The sequence below is a fragment of the Homo sapiens genome, chromosome 10 (assembly GCF_000001405.40).
Source record: "Homo sapiens chromosome 10, GRCh38.p14 Primary Assembly".
NCBI classification, from domain to species: domain Eukaryota; kingdom Metazoa; phylum Chordata; class Mammalia; order Primates; family Hominidae; genus Homo; species Homo sapiens.
Genome location: NC_000010.11, coordinates 44,576,738 through 44,590,997, shown reverse-complemented (window position 1 = coordinate 44,590,997; position 14,260 = coordinate 44,576,738). Strand labels below are relative to the sequence as shown.

Genomic DNA, 14,260 nt, shown 5'->3' with positions numbered 1-14,260 from the left:
AGGAGATAGGCTGTAGAAGACAAAATGAAAATTCTGTTTTTGCTTTATTATATTATTTGATTAGTTTGTAACAAAAATATATTCCTGCTCCACTTGTGTAAATGAATATTTTCTAGATGGATGCAGACGAGACCATGGCTGATGGCGTAGGGTGGGGTGCCTGGGGGACAGAACACTGCCTTTGTTGGGGGTCCTGCAGGAGTTGGGGGTAGCGACCTGGAGGCATCAGGGCTCCACCTCCCGTGCCATCTTTCAGTAGCTGGGAGACTTCGGCAGGCGGCTGAGCCTCTGACTTGGTGTCCTCGAGTCGGAAAGGGAAGGTGGAAGGCAGCGATGGTCACAACCCGTCCAGTCCTGCTGGGTTGTTTCTCTCCCACATGGGACTCTGTGTAAAATATGTGTGGGAGAATCAGACCTTTCAGCTGAACCTTGACTTTCAGTCAACTTTTCATTCTGTCCTAAAATTGGAGAGAAAATGATCTTGAGGGGCATGGTTTTAAGAGGTGTTGACTGATGACTCTGTGTGGGATGAAGAGCTGGTTCCTGCACACCAATTTCTGGGGCTAGGGTGCCCCCACCCCCAGATTCTCAGTCTCCTGGCAGCATTTCAACACACCATTGCTGTTTGTCCTTTGGTGCCTGAATGGGGAGACAAAGTCTGAGATTGTTACTTTAACAGGGAGGAACTACAAACAAATAGCAAGGCATAAATCTAGGTTTGAAAATAAACAGTCTGCACAGACAGCTCCTCCGGCTGCCTCCCTGTGAGTGGAGTGACAGGTCACCCAGCTGCCTAGAGCCAACAGAACCCCTACCTGTCAGTCTCACTGATTGCTCAAGGCACATCACTCGCATCTCCCTGGAGCCTGGGCCTGCTCAGCTGAGGTGAGAGCTCTTCTTGCAATCTAGCTGGTGTTAACCTCATCTTTTTCCTCCCACCTCCTTTGGCAGACAGCTCCACCCCTATTCCCAGCTGTCCTGGGACTGCCTCAACACCGGCCCTCTTCTCTGGGCTGTGCGGGGCCCTGCACGCATCACCACACTCTTAGCTGCAGCTGGGATCAATGTCATTTTGGGGAACAGAAGCCCCAATCACACATCAGCGGGGGCCATGAAGGGGCAGATTCCTCCTGCAAGCCACACATACTGCTGCTGTGTTCAGGCCAAGCCTCCTGGAAATTGTCAAAAAGGGCCGTTGCCTCTTTCAGATGGGCCCTCCTTAATCCTTCATTGGGAGTTTAATTGGCACCACCTTGGGGGCGCTGTGTGTTTACAAAATGATATACAAACCCAGACATTCATCAGCGCTGTCAGTGTCTTTGGAGTGATAAATAGTGGCAAGGCTCGATCAAAATGCTTCTGGAGCTAATCCCAAATTAACTTTTCTTTGCCTTGCCAAGAAGAAATACGAGAGCAATGAAGGTTTTATGATAGCCCATAATCTCACGATTAAACAAGTGACTGAAAAAATGGGACAATGTATTATTTTTAATTGAAAGGCAGGAACCAAAATAAACACGAGCATCCCCGAGTCCTTCTGGTGACAAGCCCCAGTATGCCTAAGCTTTAATACCAACCCCAGCCCACCTCCGAGGCAAGTGCGCAGTGCTGGGGGTGCGGCCGTGGATGGAGCGCGCAGCACCACGCCAGGCTGGCTGGCATCTGCTGGTGTGCTGTCTGATCAGTTATAAATGGGCTGTCTCCAGAACTGTTTTCACACGTCCACTTGACTCCAACAGTTGCCCAAATTAAACCATTGGAATTCTATGGGTAATTGAGTTTAAGGTTTAACCTTACCTACAAGTAAATAACCCAATTCCACCAGGAGAACCACCACATGGTCTGGAAAAAATCTGAAAAGGAACGAAAGGCCTCGATAGCAGAATTGCCAACAAGGGGGAGAGAAGGGCAGGGGCGGCAGGGCTGTCATTTGCCCTCCGGAGAGTAATATAAACTACAGCTTAGCTTCCCCTCCAGACCACCCAGTTTTATCTCTTTAGAAAAACATTAGCACATTTGAAATGTCTGAGTAGCTCGGGAAGCCACTCAGGAGTTATTGAGAAGAGGCTGCCTGTCTTCATTTTCCATTAGCAGAAGGACACAGCAGGATAGTTGGGGTACACCGAAGCAATTGCCAAAAAATTCCAGATAAATATTTTTAAATTGCATCGTAAGGGCAAAATACTCTTTTCTTCTTTCTCCTGTTTAAATTAAATTCAACTAATGCATTTGGTTATAGACGCTTACAACCTGCCTATTCTGGATGGCTTCAAAGTTGAGTCAGTAAGAACTTTAGAATCGATTGTCCTCACTATGGAATATGTCTTGCCTTTTGCTCTCCTTTCCATATTTGAGATTTTGAAAACTCTTTTTCTTTGAGAAAGAGAAGTCTAGTTGGTGGGCCTCATTTTAGCAACCAGGATGGAGATTTGAGAAGAATGCAGTTCCCAGGCCTCTTTGTACTGCTGGACTTCCCTCCAGACAGGTCCGGGTGCTCTTTCATTCCCCACAGTCAGTGAGCCAGAGAAACGACCCAGCACCACCCGGATCCTTTGGCTTGTGGAAGTTCTCCATGATGTGTAGACTCCAGGACACTTACCAGCCTGGATCCAGTTCCTGGTATCACTTTCCACATTCAAACATTTCCACATATTTTGTAAGAAGATGATGAACTTTATTTCCCCTCCTTCACTCTTATTTTTCTGAGTGTTCTTGCAGCAGGTGATTTGTTACCTGCGTATCTCCAGCTGTCAGCCAGGGCCGTCTCTGCTAAGCAAATCTCAGCAGCAGCGCCAGAAAAATGTCTGTCCAGGGATTTGCAGAGATCACAGAGCAGACCGAAGCTGCTCAGGAAGTCCAGCAGCTCTGCCACTAGTGCTTCCGTGGAGCAGCCCCCACTGATGCCTCTGCAGTGTCCGCCCTCTGGCCCTGACAGCAGCCTGTGAGATGGTTCTATGGGTGAGAGGTTCTGATGCTCCAGCAGGCTGTCTTGGGGGCTGTTCTGCACATGTGCTTCTCACCCAGAACCCTATCCTGAGGAGGGCCCAGGGAGGGCGGGGAGGCAGCAGTGGTCCCAGTACCAGGACTCTCTCGTCTCACAGAGTTGAAGCACAACAAGCCCTCACTGTAGAGCCGATTCTAGAATGCATGGGCAAGTGGAGTGGGGCACTGAGTGTAAGGAAGGGTCTGTGTAAAACAGCCCCTCCCCAGCCTTGCCATAGCAGGGGGCTGACCATGAGTCTGAAGAGCCAAGGGACACCTCTCAAGCTGCCTCAGCCCAGTGTGCCAGTCCTGAGAGGGGAGCAGCCCACAGGGATGGCACAGCTGGGTGGACACATGGGGATGGTCACTGTCCCTACCTCATCCCTATTCCCTGGAAGTGACCCTGCTTTCCAGGCCCTGTCCTATCCCTGGTCACTCCAAGAGCTGACCAAGCGTCAACTGGACAAAACAGAGGAGAGTTTTTCTTTGCAAGTTCACAGTAGGATAGGGAAAGAGATTCGGGTCTTTATCCTCTTAGCCCAGCCTGGTCTGGTCAGGGAGGGTCAGCGGGGGACCGGGCTGTGTGAACTAGTCTGTGACTGGGGACCCAGCTGTCCCCAGGTCCCCATAATGTTTAGGGTCTGCCGGCCAGGACACAGAGACAGCCCTGCACTTGCCAATGAGCTGTGGCCTCTTGGGCAGCTGCTTAATCTCCAGGATCCCCAGCTGGGCATAATTATTCCTTCCTGGAAATAATAGTGTGGGTGGCAACCGAGAGTAGTGCTCCTCAACCTTTTTGGCACCAGGGACTGGTTTTGTGGACAACAATTTTTCCATGGATGGGGGTGCATGGGAGGGGGCACAGGCTTAGGGTTTTGGGATAAAACTGTTCTACCTCAGATTATTGGGCATTAGATTCTCATAAGGAGCGCACGATCTAGATCCCTTGCACGCACAGGTCACAACAGAGTTCGCTCTCCTATGAGGATCTGATGCTGCCACTGATCTGTCAGGAGGCAGAGCTTAGGCTGTAATGCTCCCTCGCCCACAGCTCACCTCCTGCTGTGCAGCCCAGTTCCTAACAGGCCACGGACTGGTACCGGTGCCCTGATCAAGAGCATGTATCTGAGCAGTGTCAGGTAAACATCAAAACATGTTAGAAACTAAGGAGAAGGTTGGGAAAAGGCACCCAGAGGAAGGAATAATCACGGTGTCTACAGGTGTGTGCTGCTGAGTCTCCATGGAGCTTTTAAGCAGGGGTTCTCAGACATTAGTGTGCATTAACATCACCTAGAGGGCTCTTCAAAGGGCACATGGGTGGGCCCACTCCAAGAGCTCCTGACTTGAGGGTGGGACCTGAGAATGTGCATTCTAATAAGTTCTCCAGCACTACTGAGGCTGCTGGTCTAGAGGCCTCACTTTGAGAACAGCAGCCCTTGTCTGCCTGCCTGGGGAAAGAAGTGAGATAGCTCCTGGGCCTCAGAGGAGCTGGATTCAGGACGAAGGGCTGCTCCTAGTCAGGACCTATAGCCACCACCCTCCCTCCCTTGCCACACGCCTTGCCCGGCTGTGGACAAGCCTAGGAACTGGTCTCAGCAGCCCTTTTGCTTGCTTCAGTTGCCCATCCACTGCTCCTCAGAACTGGTCCAGTGCCTCCCCAGCAACACTTACTTCTCCCCCATCCTCCCTTCACCTGCAGAGACTCCTACCTCCTGCTTGCCTAGAAAACCCAGTCTCCAATTCACTCTCCAGAAAAGTAACTGCACAGGACGCTCGGAGACACGTGCAAGATCGTTGCTTACAACACTGCAGAAGAAAACAGCTGGAAACATGCTATCTGTCTACCCACAGGTAAATGATTGAATAGGCTCTGAATCACACATCTGCAGAATATAAAATTAAAAAAAGAAAAACAGAGCACAGAAATATGTACTTTTATAGTCTGTGTTAATTTATAGATAAAACATAAGAGATATATAGCCGATTAAAAGAGTTGACCATCTCCAGGCAGAAGTCTAGGATGGTGACAGGGTCAAGAGGAACTTTTATTTCTTCTGTGTTATTGTCTAACTTGAATAAGTTTTACATATGTGTGTGTATTTGTGTGTGTGTCTTTATATGTATAATATGTGTGCATATATAAACATACACATGTATGTGCTAGTGTAAATGAACCTACTGAGATGCCAGACATATAAAGTAGAGCACATGCAATTATGTACAATGTATAATGCTTGATAATAAATGACTCTGTTACTGGCTTATGTATTTACTATGCTTTACATTTTATTGTTATTTTAGAGTGTGCTTCTTCTATTTTAAAGTTAACTATAAAACAGCCTCAGGCAGGTCCTTCAGGAGGGATTCTAGAAGAAGGCATTGTTACCATAGGAGATGACAGCTCCATGAGTGTTATTTCCCCTGAAGACCTTCCAGTGGGACAAGATGTGGAGGAGGAAGACAGTGATATTGATGATCCTGACCATGTGTAGGCCTAAGTTAATGTGTGTGTTCATTTCTTAGTTTTTAACCAAAAAAAAGTTTAAAGAGTAAAAAAAAAAAAAAAATAGAAAAAAATTTATAGAATAAGGATATAGAGAAAGAAAATATTTTTGTACAGCTATATAATGTGTTTGTGTTTTAAGCTAAGTGTTATTACAACAAAGTAAAAAAGTTAAAAAAATTAAAAGTTTAAAAATTTATAAAGTAAAAAAGTTACAATAACTAAAGTTAATTTACTATTGAACAAAGGAATTTTAAAAATAAATTTAGTGTAGCCTACAGTAGTGTACAGTAATGTCCTAGGCCTTCACATTCATTCACCACTCACCCAGTGACTTACCCAGAGCAACTTCCAGTCCTGCAAGCTGCATTCATGGTGAGTGCTCCATAGGGGTGTGCCATTTTTTAAATCTTTGATGCCATATTTTTACTGTACCTTTTCTATGTTTAGATATATTTAGATACACACATACTCACCACTGTGTTATAACTGCCTGCAGTACTGAGTACAATCACATGCTGTACAGGTTTGTAGCCTAGGCGCAATAATAGGCTGTAGCATAGAGCCTCGGGGTGTAGCAGATGCACCATCTAGGTTTATGTGTCACTGTGTGGGGTTCATACAATGATGAAATCACCTAAGTATGCATTTCTCAGAAGTATCCCTGCTGTTAAGTCACACATGAATCTATACGTCTCTCTTTCTCTCTGTGTATATATATATTTATACACACACACACATATGTGTATATATATTTATACACACACACGTATATATACATATATACATATATAGAGATAGATGTATATGTGGGAAAAGAGGAGAGGGGGCTGAGGGACATGGATTTCTGCCCTTGACCTCTCCCTGCCTCTATATTTGGCATCCACCCTAACCCCCAAAAACTGCTCTTGCTGAGGTTGGCAGGGCCTCTGTATTCCCAAAGAGGCCATGCTCAGCTCTCACCACATGGACCATCTGAGTTGGACCTCCTCCTCTTCTTGCAGCTCTCTAGATTATAGATATGGATGCTTTATAATGATTGACTTTCCAAAAACTTTTACTATGGATGCTTTCAAGGGAATTGCATGAAAATTAAGAATTGATTTGGAAAGAAGTCATTGTTGAAGTATTTAGAGAGCCTTGATGCTTCCGCATTTGTCCAAACACTCTTTCACATCTCTGGAGAAATGGGTTTCTAGTTTTCATCATTTAGATCCTGTGCATACCTCATCAGACTTATCACTAGAGATTTAGGGTGCTTTTATATGATAAATGACATCTCCATTTCTTTTTTTTAAAATTTTATTATTATTATACTTTAAGTTTTAGGGTACATGTGCACAACGTGCAGGTTTGTTACATATGTATACATGTGCCATGTTGGTACACTGCACCCATTAGCTGGTCATTTAGCATTAGGTATATCTCCTAATGCTATCCCTCCCCCCTCTCCCCACCCCACAACAGGCCCCGGTGTGTGATGTTCCCCTTCCTGTGTCCATGTGTTCTCATTGTTCAGTTCCTACCTGTGAGTGAGAACATGCGGTGTTTGGTTTTTTGTCCTTGTGATAGTTTGCTGAGAATGATGGTTTCCAGTTTCATCCATGTCCCTACAAAGGACATGAACTCATCATTTTTTATGGCTGCATAGCATTCCATGGCATATATGTGCCACATTTTCTTAATCCAGTCTATCATTGTTGGACATTTGGGTTGGTTCCAAGTCTTTGCTATTGTGAATAGTGCCGCAATAAACATACGTGTGCATGTGTCTTTACAGCAGCATGATTTGTAATCCTTTGGGTGTATACCCAGTAATGGGATGACTGGGTCAAATGGTATTTCTAGTTCTAGATCCCTGAGGAATCGCCACACTGACTTCCACAATGGTTGAACTAGTTTACAGTCCCACCAACAGTGTAAAAGTACTGTATTCCTTCATTGCTGCTTGTAATTACTGCTTGAAAAGCTATCTTTTTAAACAATTTGGGTCATTTTATTAAACTTTTTTATTCTCGGAGATTTGATAGTCTTGAGCATCATTAAGATAAAAATTAAAGTGTTCTTCCCCCAAATTGTCTTTTAATTTATAATTCATATCTTGTTTAGTTGACTTCCAGACAATGTAAAATCATAATGGTGGTAGGTAGCTAACCCTAGTCTCTTTGCTGATTTTTGTTTTAGAAGCTATATGATGATTTGGTTGTAAAAGTATAAATAAATGGCAAAAAGGATACTTTTTTTTTTTTTTGAGATGGAGTCTTACTCTGTCACCATGCTGGAGTGCAGTGGTGCGCTCTTGGCTTACTGCAACCTCCTCCTCCCAGGTTCAAGCAATTCTCCTGCCTCAGCCTCCCGAGTAGCTAGGACTACAGGCACACACCACCACTCCCAGCTAATTTTTGTATTTTCAGTAGAGATGAGGTTTCACCATGTTGGCCAGGATGGTCTCGATCCCTTGACCTTGTGATCCCCCCCGCCCCTCGGCCTCTCAAAGTACTGGGATTACAGGCATAAGCCACCGCACCTGGCCCAAAAGGATACATTTTTTTCTTACCTTTCTAGGGTTTCTTTTCCTAGAATGAAAGAATGAATGTTGATTTTTATCAAATTACTTCAGTGTCTTTTCTGCTTTACTTACGTTCTATTTTTTACATTTCTTAATATTAACCTTTTATTCCCTGGGATACATCATTTTGGGTCCTGGTGAATGATAATTTCATGTACTGTAGGATTCAAGTTGTTACCTTGCTTTTTGCTGAGATGTGTTTTCATCTATAGTCAACATTTGAAAGTCATGAGATGTGTCTGAAGACCATCATAAATCCCCAGATTTCCCAAAAAGCATAGCAAAAAGACACATATAAGCCTTCCTCATCTATTAGTTATCAGTAATGTTAGTAGGACTTCTTCACTTTCTCATGAATCATACATGAGTCTTCTAGTGTTTGCTCCTTGGGAGTGTGTCCTTATAATGCAGACGTGGTCATGGTCATTTTTGAATTCCCCTGTAAGCAGGCCCTGTGAGGAGGATTTGGCTACAGGCAGGCATTTGAGGCAGGATCCCAGGAAGCAGGAGCCAGAGTAGAGGAGGGAGCAAGAAAAGCAGGAAAGCCAGGGAAGGGTGAATTCACAGCTAGCTTTCTCTGCAGATAACCAGGGCTCGATTCGGCCAGGTCCTGGCTGAGAAGCCTGTGGAACATACCCCAGCATGGTCCTTCAGAGACGGAGGAGAGGGTGTGGATGCTGACCTCCGGGTGCTCACTGCTTGAATGCAGCAGCTTTTCTGTTCCGCGTTCCCTAAGGCTGAGTGAGTGAGTGCCCAGAGCCGGGACAGCAGAGCAGGCCCCAGGGCAAAGTCTCACTGTTAGATGGGAACCAGCAGCTGGCATGGGCCATTCCCACAGCTGCAGCTGAACGCAGGAGATGTGGTGTGGTGTCAAAGCAGCTGCTACAACCAGCATTCCTGAGGTAGCTTTTAAAAACTTCAATCTCCCATCTTACAAGAGATCTTGGCCCCAGTGAAAGTACACATTAAACATTCCCCCAACTAGCTCCTGCTGAATTATCTACAGACTGTATGGCGAAGCTGTTCAGGTCAATGATGAACATGAATAGAAACTTTAACAGAGAAAGGAACCAGTTTATTGGAGTGACTCCATTCCTGACACTTTGCTGCTTTGCATGCCACCATGGTGTCTTTAAAACAGCCCTCCTTTCCTCCAGAGACCTGGGTCAGGGTCTAGCCTTTGTCCCCAAGAGCACATCTGGAGCAAGCCATTCCTTAGTGCTGAGGCCCTGGTGCTGCCCACCCCAGACCCCTGCAGTGCTGAGCCTCACCTCAGATGCACCCACCTTTCACCTCACCTCTGACTCCACCCTGTCCTCTGGGATGGGGTGAAAAATCCAAAAAATATTAGGAAAGAGAATGATGCTTTTGTAACTTACATTACTTGGTAATGAAATAAGCTGAAAATTTAATAGTTGAGACTTTTGAGTCATGCCAGGATGTCCCAGAGCTGCAGGGAGACACTCCTCCTTCACTGAAGCCCCTTGAAGTCTGGGAAATGTAAAAGATGCTGCCCAGGCATCACCTCTGGGTACCAGTCAGCCCTGCTTTGACCCAGTGTGTCATCATAGAATCATTACATGATCACACGTTATGGCCTTTTGCACATGAGCAGAAGAAAGGTACAGGCTCTGGCTCCTCAGTCTTTAGATCCCACTTGCTAGAGCAATGTTTGACACACACGGAGTATCATTCAATGAGCTCCTGAAACAGATTAGCCCATCCAAAGACCTGCAGGGCTCCATCCCTCAGCTCTGGGTCTTTGTTTAAATATCAGCTTCTCAGGAAGACTTTCACTGACCATCCTTCTAGAATAGCAAACCCCACTCTAAACCATCCCTGTTTTCTCAGCTTCATTTTTTTCCATAGCACTCACCACCATCTGACACCCTCCATGTTTTACCCACTTGGGGTGTGTTGGCCCTTCCTAGAATGTGACCTCCATGTAGCTAGAGTTTTTGCTAGTTTGGGTCACTGCTGAAACCTCAATACCTAAAACAGAGCCTGGAACATAGAAGCATTCAATAATTTTTGCAGCCTAAAGAGTAAATAAAAGAATGAGTAAAAGAATTATTGTCACCAGTGCTTTAGACTGTGGCCACACTATTCTCAGCTGATACTCTGAGACACAGACATTGAAAATGCCAGCAAACCTTTGAGAGGCAAAGCTAGCATGTTTCACATAAATTAAATATACTTAAGACTAAATAAAATATTAGATAATGTTATACTATTTGTTTGACTGATCAAAGAAAAAACTACCCCCAAAGAAGTGTAGCCCTGGAGGTCAGATCTGGGAAAGCCAGTGTGCCTCTGGTAGGGTATTTAAATACTCATCACAAGAAATGTCCCCTAAAGTTTTTATGGTTTTAGGTCTTACATTTAAGTCTTTAATCCATCTTGAGTTAATTTTTAATAAGGTGTACAGAAGGGGTCCAGTTTCAGTTTTTTGCATATGGCTAGCCAGTTTTCCCAACACCATTTATTAAATAGGGATCTTTTCCCCATTGTTTGCTTTTGTCAGGTTTGCCAAAGATCAGATGATTGTAGATGTGTAGTGTTATTTCTGAGGCCTCTGTTCTGTTACATTGGTCTATATATCTGTTTTGGTACCAGTACCATGCAGTTATGGTTACTGTAGCCTTGTAGTATACTTTGAAGTCAGGTAGCATGATGTTTCCAGCTTTGTTCTTTTTGTTTAGGATTGCCTTGGCTATATGGGCTCTTCTTTGGTTCCGTATGAAATTTAAAGTAGCTTTTTCTAATTCTGTTAAGAATGTCAATGGTAGCTTGATGGGGATAGCACTGAATGTAGAAATTACTTTGGGCAGTATGGGCATTTTCACAATATTGATTCTTCCTATCCATGAGCATGGAATGTTTTTCCATTTGTTTGTGTCCTCTCTTACTTCCCTGAGCAGTGGTTTGTAGTTCTCCTTGAAGAGGTCCTTCATATCCCTTGTAAGCTGTATTCCTAGGTATTCTATTCCCTTTGCAGCAATTGTGAATGGGAGTTCACTCATGATTTGGATAGGCAATACCATTCAGGACATAGGCATGGGCAAAGACTTCATGACTAAAACACCAAAAGCAATGGCAACAAAAGCCAAAATTGACAAATGGTATCTAATTAAACTAAAGAGCTTCTGCACAGCAAAAGAAACTATCATCAGAGTGAACAGGCAACCTACAGAATGAGAGAAAATTTTTGCAATCTATTCATCTGACAAAGGGCTAATATCCAGAATCTACAAGGAACTTAAACAAGTTTACAAGAAAAAAAAAACAACCCCATCAAAAAGTGAGTGAAAGATATGAACAGACACTTCTCAAAAGAAGACATTTATGTGGCCAACAAATGTACAAAAAAAAGCTCATCATTACTGGTCATTAGAGAAATGCAAATCAAAACCAAAATGAGATAACATTTCACATGGGTTAGAATGGTGATCATTAAAAAATCAGGAAACAACAGATGCTGGAGAGGATGTGGAGAAATAGGAACGCTTTTACACTGTTGGTGGGAGTATAAATTTGGTCAACCATTGTGGAAGACAGTGTGGCAATTACTCAAGGATTTAGAACCAGAAATACCATTTGACCCAGCAACCCCATTACTGGTATATACCCAAAGGATTATAAATCATTCTACTATAAAGACACATGCACATGTATGTTTATTGCAGCACTATTCACCATAGCAAAGACTTTAAACCAACCCAAATGTCCATCAGTCATAGACTGGATAAAGAAAATATAGCACATATACATTATGGAATACTATGCAGCCATAAAAAAGGATGAGTTCATGTCCTTTGCAGAGACATGGATGAAGCTGGAAACCATCATTCTCAGCAAACTAACACCAGAACAGAAAACCAAATACTGCATGTCCTCACTCATAAGTTACAGTTGAACAATGAGAACACATGGACACAGGGAGGGGAACATCACACATCGGGGCCTGTCTGTGGGTGGGGGGCTGGGGGAGGGATAGCATTAGGAGAAATACCCAATGTAGATGATGGGTTGATGGGTGCAGCAAACCACCATGGCATGTGTATACCTATGTAACAAACCTGCACGTTCTGCACATGTATCCCAGAACTTAAAGTATAATAATAATAATAATAAAGAAATGTCCCCTGAGAAGAGGGATCCTTCCTCCCCCAGCACACAGAAAAGAGGGACATGAACTGACACCTTGCAGCCAAACCAAGGGATGGCCCATTTGGGGAGCTGGCTCCAGGAAACTGGCAGGGTAGCCCGGGTACGTGGGGGCCTGGCAAAGATTGGTTTGCAAGGCCCCTGTCTATATGAATAAAGGTGCTCAGAGAGTCCTAGGACTTGTCAACCTTTTCCACAATTCTTTTCCTAAAAATATCACAGTGGAATCTGCTTGTCAATGCCACACTCACAGCAGCTGCCCTGTTTCCTGGAAATAGAGGGGCTTCTCTTATCCTGGCTGAACCCAGGTTCAGCCAGGATGCCACAAAGCAAAGCCACAGTTATGCCACAAAGGGAAGCATTAGCCCCTTTTCCTTTTACACAAAGGAAAGCAATGCTCAGGGCACTGCACACTGGCACATCCTGATGAAGACTCTCTGCTTGACCAAGCTTTAGTCATGCTCCCAAACCTTCTCCTGGACCCATCTGTGCATTTCCTTACAAAATTCAGTGTCAGCAAGAACACTGCTCAGCCCATTTAGCCAGAACCTGCCACTCAATATCTGATCAGGTTCCTCATCCTCAACCATCCACCAGGTTACATCTGATCACCCTGGTCTGCCTTCAGCAAGAATCCTGTGAGATCAGTTTATCCAGACTGTCCCTGACCCCTGACTTCTTCCAGGGAATTTTCCACCCACTGACCTTCACCCTGCTCCTTGGCTGTCAGTCCCCACCTGCTGGTGCTGTACTGGGAGTTGAGGTCAATTTCTTTTCGCCACTGCAAAATCCCATTGTCCGGATACCTGTTGCGAGGATCCTGAGTGCAGTCGGCCTTACCATGCTTTAACAAGTATCGCTGAATACTTTTTCCTGTAATGGTTCTTCCAGTTATGCCACAAAGGAAAGCATTAGCCCCTAAATCAAATGAGCACATTAACAATCACTGTCTGAATGAAATCTGTTTCCAAGTTGAATTTGCTGAACAGGGATGAGTGCAGAAACAGTCCACACTTAGTTCGAAACTGTTGGGATGCCTGTGGGTCTCCAGAGGACAGGCAGGGATGAGTAGGCAGACGTGCTTTCTCCATACTTTTTTTTGTCACTCCCCTGCTTAAAAAAATTGTGTTTCTATCTGCTTTAAAGGGAAATTTTAGAAAGAGAGTTTTAGAATTTAACATTTAGGCCAAACCTCACAATTTTATAATACTCTAGCCTTTTCTTATTAAAAGTGACCATCTTTTGCGACTTTCTGAGCTCTCCTTTGTTTAGAAAAGCATCCCATTTCACATTGATCATCTCCTTTCACAATCCTGGAAAGAACCTGGGCAAGGATTTGTATTATAATTACATGAAATAGTAGCCCCTCTTATGGGAAAAGGGACTAAGTCTCAGGGTGGTCAAGCGACTGGCCTGGGGTCACCCAGCAGGAAACCCTGCTCCTTTGCCCCTGAGTGACCTTGTGAATACAGCTGACCCCAGGCCCAGTGTCTGCGTTCAGCTCTGTTTCTCCTTCTCAAAATGTCCTCAGATCTCTTTTGGCTTCTCTGTGTACTTGTAACCACCTCATCTCTTGTTTTTCTCCTTGCTCATAGGCCTTTAACTGATTCTGAAAGTAGGTCAGGGCTCACAAATTCATGCGGATCAGAAAAAGGGTGGGACCATCACGTTGTCTCTCCCAGAGGAGTCAGCGGATGAGGGTGCGAGCCACAGAGCTGCCTGTCCCTGGGCCTGGGGCCCTCAGCACTGTTTCACTCCATGGTCTCTGGGTTGTGGAGGGAAGCTCAGGACCGCCCAGCCACCTGTCTTCCTGTGGCACACATGTGTTGGACGCTTCTCAGGGTCACCACCAGAAAGGACATAACAGAAGCTTCCTCAGTGCTCCTCAAGCTGAGGCAGACATCCTCCCCACTCCAGGAATCTAAGCCAGGCACTCACTCAGTGTTTCTAGAAGTTTCCATGGTGACTGGAAATTCTGCAGTTACCATGAACACCCTGCCCAGCAATCCCCACAAAAGGCTTCCAGGATGCAAAGTGTC

At 44.8% G+C, this 14,260-nt stretch overlaps 1 long non-coding RNA gene across 1 annotated transcript; it reads right to left on the bottom strand.

Annotated features, from left to right (window-relative positions):
- Nucleotides 1-25: 25 nt before the first annotated feature.
- Nucleotides 26-13,796, bottom strand: LOC124902533 (uncharacterized). The gene is made up of 2 exons (XR_007062357.1): nt 12,927-13,796; nt 26-385 (listed from the first exon to the last, which is right to left on the bottom strand). It is a non-coding gene; the product is annotated as an uncharacterized LOC124902533 (long non-coding RNA).
- Nucleotides 13,797-14,260: the final 464 nt, after the last annotated feature.